The sequence below is a fragment of the Homo sapiens genome, chromosome 7 (genome assembly GCF_000001405.40).
Source record: "Homo sapiens chromosome 7, GRCh38.p14 Primary Assembly".
Classification (NCBI taxonomy): domain Eukaryota; kingdom Metazoa; phylum Chordata; class Mammalia; order Primates; family Hominidae; genus Homo; species Homo sapiens.
Genome location: NC_000007.14, coordinates 140,758,657 through 140,783,337, shown reverse-complemented (window position 1 = coordinate 140,783,337; position 24,681 = coordinate 140,758,657). Strand labels below are relative to the sequence as shown.

At 39.6% G+C, this 24,681-nt stretch overlaps 1 protein-coding gene across 19 annotated transcripts in view; it reads left to right on the top strand.

Moving 5' to 3' along the window:
* The window catches only part of BRAF (B-Raf proto-oncogene, serine/threonine kinase), a 211,602-nt gene that overhangs the window by 141,592 nt on the left and 45,329 nt on the right, over positions 1–24,681 (top strand). For 17 of the 19 annotated variants that reach the window (NM_001378474.1, NM_001378470.1, NM_001378475.1 and 14 more), the window contains 4 exons: positions 181–317; positions 1,645–1,762; positions 5,263–5,347; positions 6,250–6,426. In NM_001378474.1, the coding sequence (NP_001365403.1) occupies positions 181–317; positions 1,645–1,762; positions 5,263–5,347; positions 6,250–6,426 (517 nt within the window). The remainder of the gene's footprint in view (positions 1–180; positions 318–1,644; positions 1,763–5,262; positions 5,348–6,249; positions 6,427–24,681) is intronic. The other 2 variants (NM_001378471.1, NM_001378469.1) reach the window with 2 other exon arrangements.

The following is a 24,681-nucleotide window of genomic DNA, read 5'->3' as shown; positions in this document are numbered from 1 at the left end:
GAAATTATAGTTGTAATCACCAAATGAGGCCCCTTTTTGGCCCATCCTTTCCAAAAGGTCTATATTTAAACATGCACTACATTTTAAAATTAAGTCTAAATATCCCCCAACCTTCTACCCCTGATAAATTAACATACTTGCTCCTCCTTAATGTATACATTTTTCTTTTCACTAATTTAGGATCAACCACAGGTTTGTCTGCTACCCCCCCTGCCTCATTACCTGGCTCACTAACTAACGTGAAAGCCTTACAGAAATCTCCAGGACCTCAGCGAGAAAGGAAGTCATCTTCATCCTCAGAAGACAGGAATCGAATGGTAAGAGTATATGATATCTTTTTTTCTCTGAATTCTTTCTTCTTAGAAGTCACAGCCAAATGTAATATTATCCTTTAGATATATTATGTCCATATGTGACACAGAATTCCCATAATTAAATAAATTTAAGAACTGATAGTTTTTTGCTTAAAGCATATTTCTACGGCACTGCTTTTTGCTGTCATCTATAATATAATTTAGTAAAAGGCAGTTTTGGAAGAGTAACAGTATTCTGTTCTAAAGTAAGGAAAAAGAGAGAAAGCTAATATTAGAAGGCACGAAAAGGCTGGTCCAGAATTCAGATATTTCAGATATCTACTGAAGGACATTCTTCCCTATTTAAAAAATCAACTTTCTTCTGCAAAATGAATCCACCATGGCACATGTATACGTATGTAACAAACCTGCACATTCTGCACATGTATCCCAGAACTTAAAGTAAAATTTAAAAATAAAAAACGAATACTGTTTAGCCGTAGTATTGCTACTAATTGTTGAATAAGAGGATCTTTTACCCTACCAAAGTAATTTTATATGTTGATTTTTTTTTTTTTTTTGGAAAGACCGAATTAGATAAGATACATGAAGAAATTTAGCACTGATTGAAAAAGACTACCTAGATGAATTGTCAGTAGTTACCACAGGTTAACTTAAAATTTTTTGTGATTTAGAGCCAAAACTATTCACAAATATAGCAGCACTTATCTTGCTCCTTAAAGTCTTCCAGATGATAAAAACATTTTACTTATTTCAGTAATATACATTCCTGCTCATACCCCATAAATAATTTATATTTTTTAATAAATTGTTTCCATCCTAACCATCCTTCTGAGCAAAGTATCACAAGGACAGAAAACCAAACACCACATGTTCTCACTCATAGGTGGGAATTGAACAGTGAGAACACTTGGACACAGGGCAGGGAACATCACACACTGGGACCTGTCATGGGGTAGGGGGAGGGGAGAGGGACAGCATTAAGAGAAATACCTAATGTAAATGACAAGTTAATGGGTGCAGCACACCAACATGGCACATGTATACATAAGTAACAAACCTGCAAGTTGTGCACATGTACCCTAGAACTTAAAGTATAATAAAATAAAAAATAAAAATAAATTTTTTCCATCCTAATATTGACTTCAGTCTTAAATTTAAGTTTTGTATTTTAAGAGTCATACTTTTAACTACTATTCTTCCAGAGAATTTTTCTTAAGGGGATCTCTTCCTGTATCCCTCTCAGGCATAAGGTAATGTACTTAGGGTGAAACATAAGGTTTTCTTTTTCTGTTTGGCTTGACTTGACTTTTTTACTGTTTTTATCAAGAAAACACTTGGTAGACGGGACTCGAGTGATGATTGGGAGATTCCTGATGGGCAGATTACAGTGGGACAAAGAATTGGATCTGGATCATTTGGAACAGTCTACAAGGGAAAGTGGCATGGTAAGTATGTAATGTGGTGACATTGTGACAAGTCATAATAGGATATGTTTAACAACTTTTATTTTGTAAAAAATATCATCAAAGGAAATATTCACTGTTCGCATCAATAAACTATTTTGATTAGTTTCAGGACTCCTCCAAAAGTTTCTAACAAAAATTATGGGAAATAAAAACTGTTCACAGCAGTCGGGACTCCTACCATTTTATTACAGTAATAATTTTTAAAGGGGAATTCCTCCAGGTTAACTAGTCCTCAAAAGGATTTTATTTTCTTTTAGAGTCTTTCAGCTGATAATTTTATTTGTATTATAAGTCACAAGTAAACATATTAAAAATGTACTTAATGGCTGGGCGCAGTGGCTTATGCCTGTAATCCCAGCACTTTGGGAAGCTGAGGCTGGCTGATCACGAGGTCAGGAGATCAAGACCATACTGGCCAACATGGTGAAACCCCATCTCTACTAAAAATACAAAAATTAGCTGGGTGTGGAAGCACGTGCCTGTAGTCCCAGCTACTTGGGAGGCTGAGGCAGGAGAATCACTGGAACCCAGGAGGCGGAGGTTGCAGTGAGCTGAGATTACGCCACTGCACTCCACCCTGGTGACAGTGAGACTCCGTCTCAAAAAAAAAAAATTAACAAAGAAATATAAGTGGCCAGTAAACATATACAAAATGTTCAGCCTTACTAGTTATCAAAGAATTGCAAATTCAAAAAATAGACATCATTATTTGCCTCTTAGTTGGACAAAATCTTTTTAAATTGGATTATATTAAGAGTAGTGGATGTATTTTCATCAAAGGTTTAATATCAATGAAAAGTGAAAGTGAACATGTATCCAACTAATAGAGAATTGGATAAATTTATACCATCATATGTGATTATATAGGAGTTAAAATGGCATGGTAGAGGTACATTTATTGATGTAGAAAGGTGTCTTTGGTATATGAAATTTTTCAAAGCAGTATGTGTAAGATACCATATTATGGAGCTCATAGAAATATATAACATAATTTTTTATATGACAGTATTTTAGGCCAGGCACAGTGGCTCACGCCTGTAATCCCAGCACTTTGGGAGGCCGAGGCAGGTGGATCACCCAAGGTCAGGAGTTCGAGACCAGCTTGGCCAACATAGTGAAACCTCATCTCTACTAAAAATACAAAAAATTAGCCAGGCTTGGTGGTGGGCGCCTGTAATCTCAGCTACTCAGGAGGCTGAGGCAGGAGAATTGCTTGAACCTAGGAGGTGGAGGTTGCAGTGAGCCGAGATCCCGCCATTGCACTCCAACCTGGATAACAGCGAGACTGTCTTAAAAAAAAAAAAAAAAAAGACTGTGTTTTAGTTTTTATCTCCTTAATCTATCTTTTCACAGGTGTTCATAAATATTCACACTAAATTCATGTAAAAGCCTAATAACATATAATGTCACTTTTGAGTGACATAATTAAGGGAATTTTTTTATACCTTCAAAATGTCTTTAAACTTTTCTTAAGTGCTGTACAGTATTTTATGATACAAACAGTAGAATAAGCACTGTATTACTTTGATAATTGAGGAAAATCAATGTTGATTTAACTTATTAAAATATACATACAGGTTGAGTATCTTTATTTATTTATTTTTGTTTGTTTTGTTTTGTTTTGAGACAAGGTCTCGCTCTGTCGCCCAGGCTGGAGTGCAGTGGCACAATCTCAACTCACTACAACCTCTGCCTCCCAGATTCAAGCAGTTCTCCTACCTCAGCCTCCTGAGTAGCTAGGATTATAGGCGCGTACCACCACCCCTGGCTAATTTTTGTATTTTGAGTAGAGACGAGTTTTGCCATGTTGGCCAGGCTGTTCTCAAACTCCTGACCTCAGGTGAGCCACCCACCTTGGCCTTCCAAAGTGCTGGGATTACAGGTGTGAGGCAGCACACCTGGCCAGGTTGGGTATCTTTAATCCAAAATCCCAAACCCGAAATGCTCCAAAATCCAAAACTTTCTGAGTGCTGACATGATGCTCAAAGGAAATGCTTATTGGAGGATTTCATATGTTTGGATTAGGGATGTTAAACTGGTAAGTATAATCAAAATATTCCAAAATCAGAAAAAATTTGAAATTTGAGACACTTCTGGTCCCAGGCATTTTGGATAAGGGATACTCAGCCTGTGTATAAAAGTGCACATAAATTAGCCAGGCATGGTGGCATGTGCCTGTACTCCCAGCTATTGAGGAGGCTGAGGTGGGAGAATGGCTTGAGCCCAGGAGTTCAAGGCTGCAGTGAGCCATGATCACACCACTGCACTCCATCCAGCCTAGGTGACAGAGCAAGACTCTGTCTCTAAAAAAATTAAATAAACAGAACATTACTAGCACTCTAGAAACACCCTCCCATGTCCTCTTCTAGCCAATCACCTCTCTCCCAAGGGTAACCACCACTGTGATTACAACAGGAAGTGCATAGTGTGTACTCTTTTGTGTCGGCCCTTTTCACTCAACATTGTTTATAAGATTCATCTATATTGTTGTGTGAAGTTGGAGGTCATTCATTCTCTTTACAGTATTTCATTGTGTGACTATAACATGATTTCTTCTTTCATCTGTTGCAATTGGATCGTTTCCAGTTTGGGGCTTTGATTGATGCTGGTGCTGTAAACATTTTTAGTGTATGTCTTTTGGTGAACATGTAACCATTGATGGGTATATATACCTAGGACAGAATTGTGAGACCACAGGGTATGCATATGTCCAGTTTTAGTAATGCTGCCAACAATGTTACAAAGTAGTTGTACCAATTTAAACACCTACTGGCAGTGTTGACGTTACAGCTGTTTCACATAAAGTTTTTTTTTTTTGATGATTTTAATAAAATATCATTTTCTTTTTTTATTATTATTATACTTTTAAGTTTTAGGGTACATGTGCAAAGTGTGCAGGTTAGTTACATATATATACATGTGCCATGCTGGTGTGCTGCACCCATTAACTCACATGAAGTTTTTTTTAAATTTTAGTGACAGTTTTAGTCATTTTCCTAATTGAAAGTATCATAAGTAATCCATAAATTTGAAAAAAATGTTAACTACTCTGATAAAAAAGTTTTATAGTTTCCTACTTTTAAGCAAAATTCCATAGGGCCTGGTAATTGTAGTTTCAACATTACTTGCAGTTTCAGTTAGTAAATAAATATTAAGCCTAGTAAGTATAATTTAATATTGTCAAATAATTTGGAAAATACCATGGGTACTTAATTGATTTTACCAAATTTCCATGGAACAAACAAGGTTGGCTATTTTTTGGATTGATATTTTGAAATACTAGTACAGGAATATCATTGTTAGTTGAATTTTTAGCCTTAGAAAACAAATGGAGTTTAGATAGCTAAAGTATAATTTATTTGTGATTTAATAATGGTATGGAGTTAGGGCTATGATAATTAGTGAAAACACCCAAGAATGTTTTATACTTTTAAATTTTAAAAATTGAAATGACACTTGGAGTAACAATTGCCTTTTAGGTGATGTGGCAGTGAAAATGTTGAATGTGACAGCACCTACACCTCAGCAGTTACAAGCCTTCAAAAATGAAGTAGGAGTACTCAGGTGAGCTTGTGTGAATTACTCTTTTCCAGAGAAAGAAGTTATTTTTATTAGCTCCTGGTTCCCAGTGGTAGCAACTATTAGCTTTACAGATTTACTCAAAATGAATAAATTTGTAGAAACAGAGTATGTCTGAGTATATTTTTGTCTTTAACCACATTCTTTTAAGTAGTATGCAATGTTATATGGTATGGCTGATAGAATACTTAGTCCTAGACTGAATTAATGGAAGTATAGTATTCTGATAATATAAAGTAATAGTTCTACTTATGAAAAGAATACTCTCCAGTTTTAAGCTTATCAGAATACATTTAGAGGTGGTATTTAGTCCTGGGCTCTGGAATTTTAGAAACATTGACAAACTAGGATATGCCTAGTGAGGACCACCTAAATAGGGAAGATTCTAGAGGTGTAACGGGGGAAAATAATCAACAGAACTGAGGATATTTAGTTCACAGAAGGCTGTTATGTTCAAGAGAGTGCACAGTTATTCCAGAGTGCGGAAAAAAAAGTTATTCCAGAGAGCAGACCAGGGAAGCAAGCCAGAGGTGAAAGTTGTAAGAAAATGATTTTGTCTCAACACTTGGAAACTTTATAATACCAGAACCACTTAAATAAAGATATGAGAGTCAGCTACAACTGAGTGATGAACTTCCCATAGTTGAAGGTATTTAAGCAACCTCTAGTTGCCTGTCAGATATATTTAAAAAGATATCTCTGCATAAAGTAGGAGGTTAGACTTGGCAATTGCCAGTCTCTTCTAAATGTATCCTTTTGTTGCCTTTTTTAAAAAAAAAAAAGCTTTTTCTGACAACATTTTACCGACAGACTACTTTGGTTCTCTTTTGTAAGAATTGCTAAAGTTTGTCGACATTTAATGTTTACTGTCACATTTCTTTGTACAGGAAAACACGACATGTGAATATCCTACTCTTCATGGGCTATTCCACAAAGCCACAACTGGCTATTGTTACCCAGTGGTGTGAGGGCTCCAGCTTGTATCACCATCTCCATATCATTGAGACCAAATTTGAGATGATCAAACTTATAGATATTGCACGACAGACTGCACAGGGCATGGAGTAAGTTCCATTCGTTAAATGTCTTGTAAATTATTTTTGAAGACCATTGAGGATGTTTTAAAGGTTTTGGCTGCTATTCTTTTGGATTGCATTTTAAATTACTGTCCAGGAACATAAGGATGCTAACTAATGGCTGGTAAATAATATGATACTAAAAAATAAATGTCTCTGTCTAGTGCAGCCTTCAGAACATATATCAAGTATTTGATAATAAATACATGACTGCAAACTTAGGCTTAGCACTCAGTGATTGAGCTAAGCAAGAGAGGTTCAGAAGATAGAAACAGCAAAAACCTGCTAAAAAGTTGTTAGCAGTTGTGCAAGTAAACAGAATGGTTGTTAGTTACTTTTTCAAATCAGTTTCTCTGAGTGCCCGTATTTTTGGTTGCAAAATGGTCAGTTAATAAAGTTAAAGTGAAAAATCTGCATTCTGACCCTTTTTGAGGATTTCAGAGTGAGTTCCTATCTGTTGAATTTTGCTATGCAATTTAAGGAGTTATTTTATAAAGTTTACCATAAGCTAATATGGGGAACTGACTTTGAAGGATAAATTTTAAATTTTGCAACTCTTAAGTGCAAATGAATAGGTAAATTAAAAGGTAAAATTAAACAAATTTTGAAAGCACTTAGGTGAAAATTATAAACTCAGTAAAATATGAATTTGAAAGCTCTGTGAGAAGTTTAAAAATAGATATGATCTGAATTTTGTTTTTTACAAATTGCTTTCACTTACATAGATTATTATGTCATTTAATCTTTATAATGTTATGAAGGAGATCTTTTTTCTTTTTACAGATAAGGAAATTGAGGCTTTTAAGTTCCTTGTCTAAGGGCACACATTTAATAAGTGGCACCAAAGGTGTTTAACTCAGGATTTCTGACTCCCAATCCAGTATTCTTTCCCCATAACCACTATGCTACTTTTACATTACAAAATTAGAATAAAAGAGTAAAAGGGTATATATGTACTAACACCTACAACTCTAACTGAGTATTGCTCCTAGCAAGTAAGTATAGAGCCAAGACTCTAAACCAGATCTGGCTCTTAGATCTTCCAACTATACCACCTTCTCTTTCTCAAAACTAGGCAATATATCTATAATTTAGATTGTTTACAAGCCTATATTCGGCCAAAATACTTATTACAGCAAATTATTACCTTATTCAGTAACACCCCCACTTACCCCTAGACTTGAAACAATCTCAACGTTTCAGATAAGTTAGAATCTCTGAATCTGTTCGAATCTAAAGGCTTTTAAAGAATTAAAATCTTGGCCAGGCACAGTGGCTCACACTTGTAATCCCAGAACTATGGGAGGCCGAGGCAGGCGGATCACCTGAGGTCGGGAGTTCAAGACTAGCCTGACCAACATGGAGAAACCCCGTCTCTACTAAAAATACAAAATGAGCCAGGCACAAGCCTGTAATCCCAGCTACTTGGGAGGCTAAGGCAGAAGAATCACTTGAACCCGGGAGGCAGAGGTTGCAGTGGGCCAAGATCACACCATTGCACTCCAGCCTGGGCAACAAGAGCAAAATTCCGTCTCAAAAAAAAAAAAAAAGAATTAAAATCTTGTGAAGAGTAAACCATGGCAAAGATTGTGAACATTCAGTGAGAAACAAAGGCTTATTCTCTTCCCACACCACTGGTCTCTTTGCAATTTCTTCAGCAGGCCAAGCGTGTTCCTTCTTTAGGACCTTTATGTTTGTTATATTCTCTTTAGGATACACATGCCACAAATATCCTTGTGTCTCGGTTCATATGTCCCCTTTTAATAGAAATCCTTGCTCACCTTATATAACTAACATGTCCCCACGTCACTCTGTCACTCTCTATACCCATAGGCTTGATTTTCTTTATAACGCATAGCTCCATCTGACTTGTTTCTTGTCTTTTATCCCCACTAGAATGCAGGCTGTATGAGAGCAGGGGCTTTTTTTCATTATTTTATGCCTAATGCCTAGAATGGGACCTGGCATACTCAGTACATAACTGTTAAATGAAAATGATTACACACAACTGCATATTATTGATAGATTTACCTTTCAGAAGAAAGAGATGCCAAATCCTTCTCACATCACAGCTGAGAAATGTGGCTGGGCATGTTGGCTCACACCTGTAATCCCAGCACTTTGGAAGGCCAAGGTGGGAGGATTGCTTGAGCCTAAGAGTTCAAGACCAGCCAGGAAACATAGGGAGACCCTCGTCTCTGTAAAAAATAAAAAATTTAGCAAGGTGTGGTGGCACTTGCCTGTAGTCCTAGCTACTCACTAGGCTGAGTTGGGAGGATCACTTGAGCCCAGGAGTGTGAGGATGCAAGGAGTCGTGATTGTGCCACTGCATCCAGCCTGGGTAACAGAGCGAGACCCTGTCCCAAAACAAACAGGCTGGGTGTAGTGGCTCATGCCTGTAAACCCAACACTTTAGGAGGCCGAGGTGGGTGGATTAAGACAAGAAGTAACAGTAAAGAAGAACATTATCAAATTGGAATAGTGCTGCAGTCTGAAGAACAGTCAGTGAAGAGGTGATATATTTTCAAAATATCACTTTACAGTTTGGGATTATCAGTGTAAACTTTAGTCATCTACTCTGAAACACTTTGGTTGTGTTTTTAAATAGATCTTACCATTTAACATGATGCAATGAGTGTACGATAGTATGAACATAGATCATTCCATTCAGTTTATCCTAGATTTTAGTAACTGAAAAAGTATTAATTCCAAGTTTTAAGCCCTCCAGCAGAGTATACTTTTTAGTACCAGTTTAAAATTAACCAAGGAGGATATAGTTTCTTTTCTCTTTTTGTTTTGTCTTGTAAGATCATAACATACAACTGGTTAAATGTACCGACACATCTTCAGTTTCTGAAGGATTTGGCAGGTTGAAACTCCTCTTATTAACAGGGCTATGAGTTTCAGATTAAGGTGACAGATTTTTGCTCCTTCCTGGAACTCCACTAAAACTGTAATAAAGGAATTTTTTTTAAAGCATGGACACATAAGGATGGGGATAACAGAGAGGAATGAGACAATATCAGCAACATTTTGAAAGCTGGAGAGCAGGTGGAAAAGTGATCATAGACTTAGACCCCAAAAGGCTAAATGATCAGTCAGCAGTGGGGAAATGAAAGCCAACCTGGTTTATACCGTAGAATCCTCAATTCTCAGGAATTGGCAATATCAGCTATCTCAGGGGATGAAAGGGTTAAAATGAAAGGCCTGTTTGAAAAGCTGTTATTTCTCTAAATCTGTTCTCTTACTCACCAGGTAACTGCTCCATCCCTATCCTAGCAGTAGACTGGAAGTTTCTTCTCTAGAGAGGGGAAAATAAATATCTCTGGACTGGGAGACCCTAATCTATGTCTAGGACATGTATATCTTTCCCAAAACATGGGGATTTGATGACTGTGTGCTTACTAAATGATGAAGGGAGATTTCCCCAGCCCTCTCTTTTTATTTGATTCCTGACATGCTAGCAGCCAAACCCTACTCTTCCGAAATGCAGAAGATTCGAAGAGTCTTGGGTGAATTTTACCAGCTCAAGAGGAAAGACCCAAAGAAAGTGACATCAGGGATTCCACCTAGATTACTGTATAGTTCAAAAATAGCAAGCCCATCTGTATGCTTAAAGCCTCCAGGCAGCTTGTAAGTCCCTCACTTAGTCTAAGTAAGAGTATCGCTGGATAACTAGATATTGGTGGGGAAGTCTTATGCAAATAAGAGAGACTGTAAAACACATAGAGAAAAATAGGCATTGGGAGAAACACATACAATGCAAGATTATCTCTCCCCTGCCTCACCCCACCTCCAAAAAACCTATCAGTTTTCTCAGAGGGAGAAAAGATAACTTTATGTCCACTAAACAGGAACAGAGGTTTTCTAAGGAACATTCATGTAACAGCAGCAACAAAATGCTAAAATGTTGATATTTACAGTACACTGGAAATTATGTCCTTTGCAATTATTTAAATGTAACTTTTAAATGTTAATTTAAAAGGAGTTAACGTAGTTTCTCAGAATTCTTTTAAGGGGTGTTCAGCAAAAAAAGTTTTAAAACTATTATGTTAAACACTATATGGTTTAATATTAAATTCCTATATTATGCAACATAATTCGGAAGGGACACTTAGATAAATTTTTTACAAACCAAGTTACATAAAATATGTATAATTAATTGGAACACATAACCAGATTGCATCAGTGAGTCTTGAAGTGGATATTCCTGTTTTCTTCTCTAGTGTCAATGACTAAAGCACACTATTTTCACTACTTTTTTTAAATTTTGAGACAGAGTCTCACTCCTCTGTCACCCAGGCTGGACAGGCTGGAGCGCAGCGACACTCTCTCAGCTCGCTGCAACCTCTGCCTCAAGTGATCCTCCCACCTCAGTCTCCCTAGTAGCTGGGACTACAAGGGCGCACCATCACACCTGGCTCATGTTTTTGTATTTTTTGTAGAGACAGAGTTTCGCCATGTCACCCAGGCTGGTCTCAAACTCCTGGGCTCAAGCGAGCCACTGCCTCCGCCTCCCACAGTGCTGGGACTACAGATGTAAGCCACCAGGCCCGGCCTATTTTCAGTACATTTGATTGAACTTTGTTGTTGTTGTTGTTGTTGTTGTTGTTGTTGTTGTTGTTGTAGTTAAACAATCTGTTTTAATCAGGCTGACAGATGTTAGAACAAACAGGATGGTCCTAGGGGTCATGAACTGGTTCTTCAAATCCTAACTGTTGCTGCTGATTTTGTAACAGATTTTAACATATCTTTTGACTTCTGGTCACTCATTTCAGCCTCATGTTTGGTTCTCTGTTTTAATTTCCCCCTATCTATTCCCATGGATCAAATGGCACAGATGGAATTCCTTACATACCTAATTTTTCCTCCCTATTTCCAATACTGTTCATCTTGAATGCCAACCATAGTTTCATCTTGAGGGCTTTGTTTTGGAATTATCTCCAGAAGCTATTCCCAGTTAGAAGCCTGCTTGGATAATTAATATTGCTTCTTAGCTCCCTCCAGCTCTCTTTCCTTCTGTCCCCTGGCTCTACCCTGAGCACAAATGATAATTCTCTGTGACCATCACAGCCACCATCTTACTGTGCCTCCTTTCAACTCTTCATGTCTATATCCTCTTCCCTGACCAGCATCATCTCACAAAGGACTGACCAAGCCAGATATAGTCTATAGCTAGACAATAAGGCTATAGGGTATTTAAATAGCCTCTTAATATGTACTTTTGCAAAGCCTTTATTTCAGAATAGCCTGCCCTATGTTGAAAGTGATCTTTTCTGACTGCTCACCAAAATTCATTCTAAAGTCTCTGGATATAAGCAGAATAGGAACAAACGGATTCATTTTATAAAGTGCTAAGGTTGCAGTTAACTCATAAGATAAAACCTTTAATAATTAGAAAAGTTAGTCTGGACACGGTGGCTCACACCTGTAATCCCAGCACTTTGTGAGGCCAAGGCAGGAGTATTGCCCGAGCCAAGGAGTTCAAGACCAGCCTGGGCAACGGCAAAACCCCGTCTCTACAAAAAATACAAAAATTAGCTGGATGTGATGGTGTGCACCTGTGTTCTCACCTACTTGGGAGGCTGAGGTGGGAGGATCACTTGAGCCCAGGAAGTCGAGGCTGCAGTGAGCCATGATCGTGCCACTACACTCCGCCCTGGATGACAGAGCAAGACCCTGTCTCAAAAATAAATAAGAATAATTAGAAAAGTTGAATCATTAGGACTTTCAAATGTGTCACCTTTATTGGATTACAGAATATAAGCAAAAAATGGATAGGTAACATTTTTCCTGTGTGGTTATATCTTCCATTTGTACCTCAGTGAAAAACTATTTCTGATTCCTAGGTTTACTTGAAAAGGAGCAGAGCTGTTCTAATGGTAGATAATTATAAACTCACTCTGAGGAATCAGGGTTGGTAAAGTATGTTTTATCATCTTCTTTTTTGGTTTTTTTTTTTTTTTTTTGAGATGGAATCTCACTGTCACCCAGGCTGGAGTACAGTGGCACGACCTTGGCTCACTGAAACCTCCGCCTCTCAGGTTCAAGCGATTCTCCTGCCTCAGCCTCCTGAGTAACTGGGATTACAGGCACCCACCACCACACCTGGCTAATTTTGTATTTTTAGTAAACGGGTTTTCACCATGATGGCCAGGCTGGTCTTGAACTCCTGACCTCAAGTGATCTGCCCGCCTCGGCCTCCCAAAGTGCTGGGATTACAGGCGTGAGTCACTGCACCTGGCCTGTTTTATCATCTTTTCACCTGCCAGTCATTGATTCATCCCAAGGACCCAGATATCTTAAGAATACTGTTACTAAAGAAATTCCAGGAATGGTCAGTACATTGTGCCTTTTTTTTTTTTTTTTTTTGGCAGGCCTTATAATTTCAGTATAATATTTATGGTATGATTTTGAATTTAACTTTATCAAAAAATTAAATCACAGAGGCACATAGAAAAAGTTACAGCCTATCGATATATTTACAGAAGCATTATATTCTCAAAATAAGATGATTAAAAATAATTTGGAGATAAATCCTTACAATTTACTTTGTTTTAAACAATGATGAGCATGCCTCTTTTACTCATAAGTGAACCCAGTTGAAGATAGAAGGACTAATTAAAGCTGAAAAAATGGTGAACATGTATTAGTGATTGATAATAATTCTAAGTGGCCGAAGAATATTTAATTATAGTGAACATAATTTTCTGGTCGGTAAAAATAATAATAGGGTGCTGATAATAATAATAATCAGAAAATGCAAGGTAAAACAAAAAGGTACCACTTTCCACCCACTGGAATTGGCAAAATGCCTGAGTTCTGATAAGATCAAATGTTCATAGGATTAGAGGAATTGCTTCCTGGGTCATTTCTGATGCAACCAGCCACCTTAACAGCATTCTGGAAGTAGCTGTTAAAATAGGAAAATGCTTATTCTAACCCCAAGAAACATTAGCTTTTGTTCCAAGTCGTGTATACAGAAAGAGATGTATTATAGGAAACAATATAATAGTGAAAAATTGGTCTGGATGCAGTGGCTCATGCCTCTAATCCCAGCACTTTGGAAGACTAGGGTAATAGGATCACTTGAGGCCGGGAGTTTGAGACCAGCCTGGATGACACTGTGCGACCCTGACTCTATGTAAAACTTAAAACATTAAGGACATTTTTTTAAAAAAAGAAAAACTTATTGAAAAATTGGAAACATGTTCATCAGGAGAAGACTTGATAAATAACATATTGGCACTTACATACAGTAGAATCGTATATAGTAGTTAAAAGTGGATTATATATGTATCAACATAAAGCTTTAAAATATTAATGTTAAGTGAGAAAAGCAAGCTGCAGCATGAGACCACTTAAAAATTTTTAAGCAGAACATTTTTTACATTTGGGCTTTAAAAAGTGGTGTGTATGTATATATGTAAAAGTACTGAAATAAGGATTAGAAAGCAAAGATCAAGTAACATAGTGATTATCTCCAGGAATCAAGTACAAACTTTGAAAAAAGACTGGAGGTGGCCAAGCACGGTGGCTCATGCCTGTAATTCCAGCACCTTGGAAGGCCAAGGCAGGTGGATCACTTGAGGACAGGAGTTCGAGACTAGCCTGGCCAACATGGTGAAACACCATATCTACTAAAAATACAAAAAATCAGCTGGGCATGGTGGCCGGTGCCTGTAATCCCAATTACTTGGGAGGCTGAGGCAACAGAATCGCTTGAACCCAGGAGACGGAGGTTGCAGTGAGCCAAGATGGCACCACTGCACTCCAGCCTAGGTGACAGAGCGAGATTCTGTCTCAAAAAAAAAAAAGACTGGAGGTGTTTTAGTCCATTTTCTTTACTATAACAGAATACCTGAGGCTGGGTAATTTGTTGTTTTCTGCAAAAAGAAACTTATTTCTCATAGTTCTAGAGGCTGGGAAGTCCAAGGGCATTGGTGCTAACATCTGCTGGGCTTCTGGTGAGGGCTTTCCTACTGCATGGTAACATGGTGGAGAAGCAGAAGAGGGAGTGGGCACACACAAAAGGGGCAGAACACAAGGGACAGCCTCACTCTATAGCAACCCCCTTTCACAGTAACTGTAGAAGTCACTCCTGGCCAGGTGTGGTGGCTCATGCCTGTACTACTAGCATATTGGCAGGCTGAGGAGGGAGGATTGCTTGAGCCCAGGAGTTTGAGACCAGCCTGGACAACATAGTAAGACCTCATCTCTACAAAAAAATTTTTTTTAATTAGCCAAGCATGGTAGCACACTCCTGTAGCCCCAGATACTCTGGAGGCTGAGGCAGGAGGATCACTTGAGCCCAGAAGTTTGAGGCTACAGTGAGGCATGATTGAGTCCACTGCACTCCAGCCTGGGTGACAAAGTGAGACCCTGACTCAAAGAAAAAAAGAAGTCAGTGACTCCTGCTTTCATGAGGGCATTCCTCATGACCCAGACCCAAATGCCTCTTAAAGGTCCCACCAACTCTCAACACCATTACACTGGGGCCAAGCCTCCACATGAGTTTTGTGGGGACAAGCCATATTCAAACTGTAGCAGGAGGCAAATGTATAAAAGTTTTAATGGGTCTGATTATGGTAAGAATATGAGTGACATTATCCTTTGCTACTGCAGTTTTTTTAAAATTTCAAAATCATGTTACGAGGAAATATGTAATCATTATAGGAAATTCAGAAAATGTAAACATAAATAAAAAGCACCAGTAATCCACCATCAAGAGATAACTGTCATTAATATTTTGATGTGTATTGTGTATCCTTTCAGAATGATGTGTTTTAATACTATACACAATGGTTTCTTGCTGTTGTTTTAAATCATACTGGGTTTTCCTTTTTACTCTTAAATATCTCTACTGGTCAATAAATATCTGATACCAGCTCTGCTACATACTGTTAACTCACTGTCTCCCCTTTTTCTTTATGCCAACTATGTTCTGTGGGGTTTCTTAAAATATACTGTAATGTATTTAGCAATGATATGCACTTACTATGTGTCAGACATTCTGTGTACTTTATATACATTACCTCATTTACTCCTCAACAACCCTGTGAGGTTGCAGCTTTTATTATATCCTTGTTTTATGGATGAAGAAACCTGGTTATGGAAGGGGCAAGTAACTTGCCCCAGGTACTTCAGCTCCAGGGTGTATTCCTTTAACCATTAAAGCATGTTGCTTCCCCAACTTATTCAGTCCCTTCGAAAACTTCAAGTAGACCCTTAATGTTATAGGGCAGTTACACTTTCAGTTTCCTAGTTCATTCACTGTCCTCTTTTAGACACTGTCATACCGCCTCAAAACCTCATATCCTTAAGCCTCTAAAACCTCTTCTTCAAGAAATCAGCGATGACATTGCTTGCCATCTCTTTAAGACAGTTGGAAGTAACCATTATGACATCTACCCACCTGCCTGCATTCATACCAGGTTCTTCTGCCTTATCACTAGTAAAAGCCAATCCCTCCATTTGTACACTAGATTCCATCCCCTTACCCCTACCCAGAGACATCTTTTGAGTAAATCTCCCATCTTGTTTATCATCAGTTTTTCCTTTCCTACTGAATTTTCTCCTATTTTAAAACATCTTTTGGCTGGGCACGGTGGTTCATGCCTGTAATCCCAACACTTCGGGAAGCTGAGGCGGGTGGATTGCTTGAGCTCAGGAGTTCAAGATCAGACTGAGCAACATAGTGGAACCCATCTCTACCAAAAAATACAAAAATTAGCCAGGCGTGGTGGTCTGTGCCTGTGGTCCCAGCTACTTGGGAAGCTGAGACAAGTGGATCTCTAGAGCCTGGGAAGATGAGGCTGCAGAGAGTCAAGATCGCGCCACTGCATTCCAGCCTGGGTGACAGAGCAAGACTCTGTCTCAAAAATAAGTAAATAAATAAAACATCTTTCACTGAGTGCAGTGGTTCACACCTGTAATCCCAGCCCTTTGGGAAGCTAACGTGGGAAGATCACTTGAGCTCAGGAGTTGGAGACCAGCTTGGGTAACAGAGTGAGTCCTTGTCTCAGAAAACTAAAGTAAAATTTAAAAGTAGGGCAGGTGTGGTGGCTCACACTTGTAATCCAAGCACTTTAGGAGGCTGAGGCTGGTGGATCACTTGAGCCCAGGAGTTTGAGACCACCCTAGGCAACATGGCAAAACCCGTCTCTACAAAAAATACAAAAATTATCCAGATGTGGTGGTGTATGTCTGTGGTCCCAGCTACTCGGGAGGCTGAGGTTGCAGTGAGTGGAGATTGCACCACTGCACTCCAGCCAGGGCGACAGAGTGAAACCCTGTCTCAAAAAAAAAATTAAGAAGTAACAGTAATAATGAAACATCTTTCTTATGCACATTTGGCAGAATGTTGACATTTGTGGAATCTATGTGGAAGGTGTGTGGGTATTCTTTCCATTTTTCTGTATGTTTATTTTCTTTTTTGTTGTTGTTTTGTTTTTTTTATTATTATACTTTCAGTTTTAGGGTACATGTGCACAATGTGCAGGTTAGTAACATATGTATACATGTGCCATGCTTGTGTGCTGCACCCATTAACTCGTCATTTAGCATTAGGTATATCTTCTAATGCTATCCCTCCCCCCTGCCCCACCCCACAATAGTCCCCAGAGTGTGATGTTCCCCTTCCTGTGTCCATGTGTTCTCATTGTTCAATTCCCATCTATGAGTGAGAACATGCGGTGTTTGGTTTTTTGTCCTTGCGATAGTTTACTGAGAATGATGATTTCCAATTTCATCCATGTCCCTACAAAGGACATGAACTCATCATTTTTTATGGCTGCATGGTGTATATGTGCCACATTTTCTTAATCCAGTCTATCATTGTTGGACATTTGGGTTGGTTCCAAGTCTTTGCTATTGTGAATAGTGCCGCAATAAACATACGTGTGCATGTGTCTTTATAGCAGCATGATTTATAATCCTTTGGGTGTATACCCAGTAATGGGATGGCTGGGTCAAATGGTATTTCTAGTTCTAGATCCCTGAGGAATCGCCACACTGACTTCCACAAAGGTTGAACTAGTTTACAGTCCCACCAACAGTGTAAAAGTGTTCCTATTTCTCCATATCCTCTCCAGCACCTGTTGTTTCCTGACTTTTTAATGATTGCCATTCTAATTGGTGTGAGATGGTATCTCATTATGGTTTTGATTTGCATTTCTCTGATGGCCAGTGATGATGAGCATTTTTTCATGTGTCTTTTGGCTGCATAAATGTCTTCTTTTGAGAAGTGTCTGTTCATGTCCTTTGCCCACTTTTTGATAGGGTTGTTTGTTTTTTTCTTGTAAATTTGTTTGAGTTCTTTGTAGATTCTGGATATTAGCCCTTTGTCAGATGAGTAGGTTGCGAAAATTTTCTCCCATTTTGTAGGTTGCCTGTTCACTCTGATGGTAGTTTCTTTTGCTGTGCAGAAGCTCTTTAGTTTAGTTAGATCCCATTTGTCCATTTTGGCTTTTGTTGCCATTGCTTTTGGTGTTTTAGACATGAAGTCCTTGCCCATGCCTATGTCCTGAATGGTAATGCCTAGGTTTTCTTCTAGGGTTTTTATGGTTTTAGGTCTAACGTTTAAGTCTTTAATCCATCTTGAATTAATTTTTGTATAAGGTGTAAGGAAGGGATCCAGTTTCAGCTTTCTACATATGGCTAGCCAGTTTTCCCAGCACCGTTTATTAAGTAGGGAATCCTTTCCCCATTGCTTGTTTTTCTCAGGTTTGTCAAAGATCAGATAGTTGTAGATATGTGGCGTTATTTCTGAGGGCTCTGTTCTGTTCCATTGATCTATATCTCTGTTTTGGTACCAGTACCATGCTGTTTTGGTTACTGTAGCCTTGTAGTATAGTTTGCAGTCAGGTAGTGTGATGCCTCCAGCTTTGTGCTTTTGGCTTAGGATTGCCTTGGTGATGCGGGCTCTTTTTTGGTTCCATATGAACTTTAAAGTAGTTTTTTCCAGTTCTGTGAAGAAAGTCATTGGTAGCTTGATGGGGATGGCATTGAATCTGTAAATTACCTTGGGCAATATGGCCATTTTCATGATAACTGATTCTTCTACCCATGAGCATGGAATGTTCTTCCATTTGTTTGTATCCTCTTTTATTTCATTGAGCAGTGGTTTGTAGTTCTCCTTGAAGAGGTCCTTCACATCCCTTGTAAGTTGGGTTCCTAAGTATTTTATTCTCTTTGAAGCAATTGTGAATGGAAGTTCACTCATGATTTGGCTCTCTGTTTGTCTGTTATTGGTGTATAAGAATGCTTGTGGTTTTTGTACATTGATTTTGTATCCCAAGACTTTGCTGAAGTTGCTTATCAGCTTAAGGAGATTTTGGGCTGAGACAGTGGGGTTTTCTAGATATACAATCATGTCGTCTGCAAACAGGGACAATTTGACTTCCTCTTTTCCTAATTGAATACCCTTTATTTCCTTCTCCTGCCTGATTGCCCTGGCCAGAACTTCCAACACTATGTTGAATAGGAGTGGTGAGAGAGGGCATCCCTGTCTTGTGCCAGTTTTCAAAGGGAATGCTTCCAGTTTTTGCCCATTCAGTATGATATTGGCTGTGGGTTTGTCATAGATAGCTCTTAATATTTTGAGATACGTCCCATCAATACCTAATTTATTGAGAGTTTTTAGCATGAAGGGTTGTTGAATTTTGTCAAAGGCCTTTTCTGCATCTATTGAGATAATCATGTGGTTTTTGTCTTTGGTTCTGTTTATATGCTGGATTACATTTATTGATTTGCGTATGTTGAACCAGCCTTGCATCCCAGGGATGAAGCCCACTTGATCATGGTGAATAAGCTTTTTGATGTGCTGCTGGATTCGGTTTGCCAGTACTTTATTGAGGATTTTTGCATCAATGTTCATCAAGGATATCGGTCTAAAATTCTCTTTTTTGGTTGTGTCTCTGCCTGGCTTTGGTATCAGGATGATTCTGGCCTCATAAAATGAGTTAGGGAGGATTCCCTCTTTTTCTATTGATTGGAATAGTTTCAGAAGGAATGGTACCAGTTCCTCCTTGTATCTCTGGTAGAATTCAGCTTTGAATCCGTCTGGTCCTGGACTCTTTTTGGTTGGTAAGCTATTGATTACTGCCACAATTTGAGATCCTGTTATTGGTCTATTCAGAGATTCAACTTCTTCCTGGTTTAGTCTTGGGAGAGTGTATGTGTCGAGGAATTTATCCATTTCTTCTAGATTTTCTAGTTTATTTGCATAGAGGTGTTTGTAGTATTCTCTGATGGTAGTTTGTATTTCTGTGGGATTGGTGGTGATATCCCCTTTATCATTTTTTTATTGCATCTATTTGATTCTTCTCTCTTTTCTTCTTTATTAGTCTTGCTAGTGGTCTATCAATTTTGTTGATCCTTTCAAAAAACCAGCTCCTGGGCCAGCCGCCCCGTCCGGGAAGGAGGTGGGGGGGTCAGCCCCCCGCCCAGCCAGCTGCCTCGTCCGGGAGGTGAGGGGCGCCTCTGCCCGGCCGCCCCTACTGGGAAGTGAGGAGCCCCTCTGCCCAGCCAGCTGCCCCGTCCGGGAGGGAGGTGGGGGGGTCAGCCCCCTGCCCGGCCAGCCGCCCTGTCCAGGAGGGAGGTGGGGGGGGTCAGCCCCCCGCCCGGCCAGCCACCCCGTCCGGGAGGGAGGTTGGGGGGTCAGCCCCCCGCCCGGCCAGCCGCCTCGTCCGGGAGGTGAGGGGCGCCTCTCCCCGGCCGCCCCTACTGGGAAGTGAGGAGCCCCTCTGCCCGGCCACCACCCCGTCTGGGAGGTGTACCCAACAGCTCATTGAGAACGGGCCATGATGACAATGGCGGTTTTGTGGAATAGAAGGAGGGGAAAAGCGGGGAAAAGATTGAGAAATCGGATGGTTGCCGTGTCTGTGTAGAAAGAGGTAGACATGGGAGACTTTTCATTTTGTTCTGTACTAAGAAAAATTCTTCTGCCTTGTGATCCTGTTGATCTGTGACCTTACCCCCAACCCTGTGCCCTCTGAAACATGTGCTGTGTCCACTCAGGGTTAAATGGATTAAGGGCGGTGCAAGATGTGCTTTGTTAAACAGATGCTTGAAGGCAGCATGCTCCTTAAGAGTCATCACCACTCCCTAATCTCAAGTACCCAGGAACACAAACACTGCGGAAGGCCGCAGGGTCCTCTGCCTAGGAAAACCAGAGACCTTTGTTCACTTGTTTATCTGCTGACCTTCCCTCCACTATTGTCCTATGACCCTGCCAAATACCCCTCTGCGAGAAACACCCAAGAATGATCAATTAAAAAAAAAAAAAAAAAAAAAACAGCTCCTGGATTCATTAATTTTTTGAAGGGTTTTTTTGTCTCTATTTCCTTCAGTTCTGCTCTGATTTCAGTTAATTCTTGCCTTCTGCTAGCTTTTGAATGTGTTTGCTCTTGCTTTTCTAGTTCTTTTAATTGTGATGTTAGGGTGGCAATTTTGGATCTTTCCTGCTTTCTCTTGTGGGCATTTAGTGCTATAAGTGTCCCTCTACACACTGCTTTGAATGTGTCCCAGAGATTCTGGTATGTTGTGTCTTTGTTCTCATTGGTTTCAAAGAACATCTTTATTTCTGCCTTCATTTCGTTATGTACCCAGTAGTCATTCAGGAGCAGCTTGTTCAGTTTCCATGTAGTTGAGTGGTTTTGAGTGAGTTTCTTAATCCTGAGTTCTAGTTAGATTGCACTGTGGTCTGAGACACAGTTTGTTATAATTTCTGTTCTTTTACATTTGCTGAGGAGAGCTTTACTTCCAAGTATGTGGTCAGTTTTGGAATAGGTGTGGTGTGGTGCTGAAAAAAATGTATATTCTGTTGATTTGGGGTGGAGAGTTCTGTAGATGTCTATTAGGTCCCCTTGGTGCAGAGCTGAGTTCAATTCCTGGGTGTCCTTATTAACTTTCTGTCGCGTTGATCTGTCTAATGTTGACAGTGGGATGTTAAAGTCTCCCATTATTATTGTGTGGGAGTCTAAGTCTCTTTGTAGGTCACTAAGGACTTGCTTTATGAATCTGGGTGCTCCTGTATTGGGTGCATATATATTTAGGATAGTTAGCTCTTCTTGTTGAATTGGTCCCTTTACCATTATGTAATGGCCTTCTTGGTCTCTTTTGATCTTTGTTGGTTTAAAGTCTGTTTTATCAGAGACTAGGATTGCAACCCCTGCCTTTTTTTGTTTTCCACTTGCTTGGTAGATCTTCCTCCATCCTTTTATTTTGAGCCTATGTGTGTCTCTGCATGTGAGATGGGTTTCCTGTATGCAGCACACTGATGGGTCTTGACTCTTTATCCAGTTTGCCAGTCTGTGTCTTTTAATTGGAGCATTCAGTCCATTTACGTTTAAAGTTAATATTGTTATGTGTGAATTTGATCCTGTCATTATGATATTAGCTGGTTATTTTGCTCGTTAGTTGATGCAGTTTCTTCCTAGTCTCGATGGTCTTTACATTTTGGCATGATTTTGCAGTGGCTGGTACCACTTGTTCCTTTCCATGTTTAGTGCTTCCTTCAGGAGTTCTTTTAGGGCAGGCCTGGGGGTGGCAAAATCTCTCAGCATTTGCTTGTCTGTAAAGTATTTTATTTCTCCTTCACTTATGAAGCTTAGTTTGGCTGGATATGAAATTCTGGGTTGAAAATTGTTTTCTTTAAGAATGTTGAATATTGGCCCCCACTCTCTTCTGGCTTGTAGAGTTTCTGCTGAGAGATCCGCTGTTAGTCTGATGGGCTTCCCTTTGTGGGTAACCCGACCTTTCTGTCTGGCTGCCCTTAACATTTTTTCCTTCTTTCAACTTTGGTGAATCTGACAGTTATGTGTCTTGGAGTTGCTCTTCTCAAGGAGTATCTTTGTGGCGTTCTCTGTATTTCGTGAATCTGAACATTGGCCTGCCTTGCTAGATTGGGGAAGTTCTCCTGGATAATATCCTGCAGAGTGTTTTCCAACTTGGTTCCATTCTCCCCGTCACTTTCAGGTACACTAATCAGACGTAGATTTGGTCTTTTCACATAGTCCCATATTTCTTGGAGGCTTTGTTCGTTTCTTTTTATTCTTTTTTCTCTAAACTTCCCTTCTCGCTTCATTTCATTCATTTCATCTTCCATCACTGATACCCTTTCTTCCAGTTGATCGCATCGGCTCCTGAGGCTTCTGCATTCTTCACATAGTTCTCGAGCCTTGGCTTTCAGCCCCATCAGCTCCTTTAAGCACTTCTCTACACTGGTTATTCTAGTTATACATTCGTCTAAATTTTTTATTATTTTCATTAAAAAAAACTTTTGGGGTCCCTCCCTTAATCCTGCTTCTCTCTTCAGTTATTACCTCATTCCTCTTCTTCCTTCGACAGTAAAACTTCTCAAAAGACTTGTTGGTATTCACTGTCCAGTTGCTCTCCTTCCTTTTTATCTTGGACCCCACTCAAACCAGGCTTTTGCCCCTGCTGCTCCAGAAAACATCTTTTTTTTTTTTTTTTTTCTCTCTCTCAAGGAAGAGTCTCACTCTGTCCCTCAGGCTGGAGTACAATGGCATGATCTCAGCTCACTACAACCTCTGTCTCCAGGGTTCAAGTGATTCTCCTGCCTTAGTCTCCCAAGTAGCTGGGATTACAGGTGCACACCACCACACCCAGCTAATTTTTGTATGTTTAGTAGAGACAGGGTTTCACTATGTTGGCCAGGCTGGTCTGGAACTCCTGACCTCAAGTGGTCTGCCCATCTCGGCATCCCAAAGTGCTGGAATTACAGGCATGATCCACTGTGCCTAGCCAGGAAACAGCGTCTTAATATGATAGTTACTGGTGGCCTCCATGTTGCTAGATCCAGCAGTAAAATTCTCAGTCCACAGTTTATTTGACCTGTCAGAAACATCTGATACAGTTGATCACACACTTCTTCATGAAACAGGTTCTTAATCCCTTGTTTAATTGTGTTCTTAGTTTCTTGCTGCTCAGAATGTGGTCTGAGTAGCATCTGTACCACCTGGGAGCCTTTTAGAAATGCTAAGTTTTAGATACCACCCCAGACCTGAATCAAAGACTGCATTTTAACAAGATCCCCAAATGATTCGTGTCCATATTAAAGTGTGAGAAACACTGCTTTCAGGCATATTCTCCTGATTACCCTTCTACTCACTGTCTACTCCTCAGCTGGTTCCTCCTCTCCTTCTTTGGTGTTTCGTGGTTGGACAAGTCATTTAAAATACCTGTAATCAGGGCCGGGTGTGGTGGCTCACGCCTCTAATCCCAGCAGTTTGGGAGGCCAAGGCAGATGGATCACTTGAGGTCGGGAGTTCAAGACCAGCTTGACCAAAATGGTGAAACCCCATCTCTACTAAAAATACAAAATTAGCTGGACGTGGTGGTACTTGCCTGTAATCCCAGCTACTTGGGAGGCTGAGGCGGGAGAATCACTTGAACCCGGGAGGCAGAGGTTGCAGTGAGCCAAAATCGTGCCATTGCACTCCAGCCTGGGTGACAAGGGCAAAACTCCATCTTAAATAAATAAATAACCTATAATCAGAACCAGCAATACAAAGTATTATCAAGGATAAAGAACAACTGGAACTCTCATACATTGCTGGTAAAGATTTTAAATGATACAGCCATTTTAGGGATCAGGTTGGCAGTTTCTTTTAAAGTTAAATTTACCATTTGTGCAATTCTAATCCTACCTAATTACCCAAAATAAATGAAACCATCAGTCAACAACAAAGACTTGTATATGAATACAGCATCTTCTTCATATTTGCCACAAACTAGGAACAACACAGTGTCCAATAAGTAAATAGATAAGTTGTGATATACCCATACCCCGTAACACTGCATGCAGCCAGTGCGTGAATCTCACAATTGTTTTGCTGCGCAAAAGAAGCCAGGTGATTCTGTTTATATGAAATTTGAGAAAAGGCAAAATTAATCTGTAGTGACAGAAGTCATTATCAATGGTTTCCCAAGCCTAAAGGGGGTGTTACTAATCGCAAAAATGTATGAAGAAACTTTCTGGGGTGACGGATATTCTTTATATTGATTGTGACTGGTCATTACACAAGTGTATGTGTGTGTTGAAACTTTTAAAACTGTCCATGTAAAATGGGTGCATCTTGTGTGTAAACTGTACCTCAGTAAATTTCAGTTTTTAAAAGTGAAAAATACCTGATGGCTTACACCTATAATTCTAGCACTTCGGGAGGCCGAGGTGGGAGGATGGCTTGAGCCCAGGAGTTCAAGACCAGCCTGGGCAAC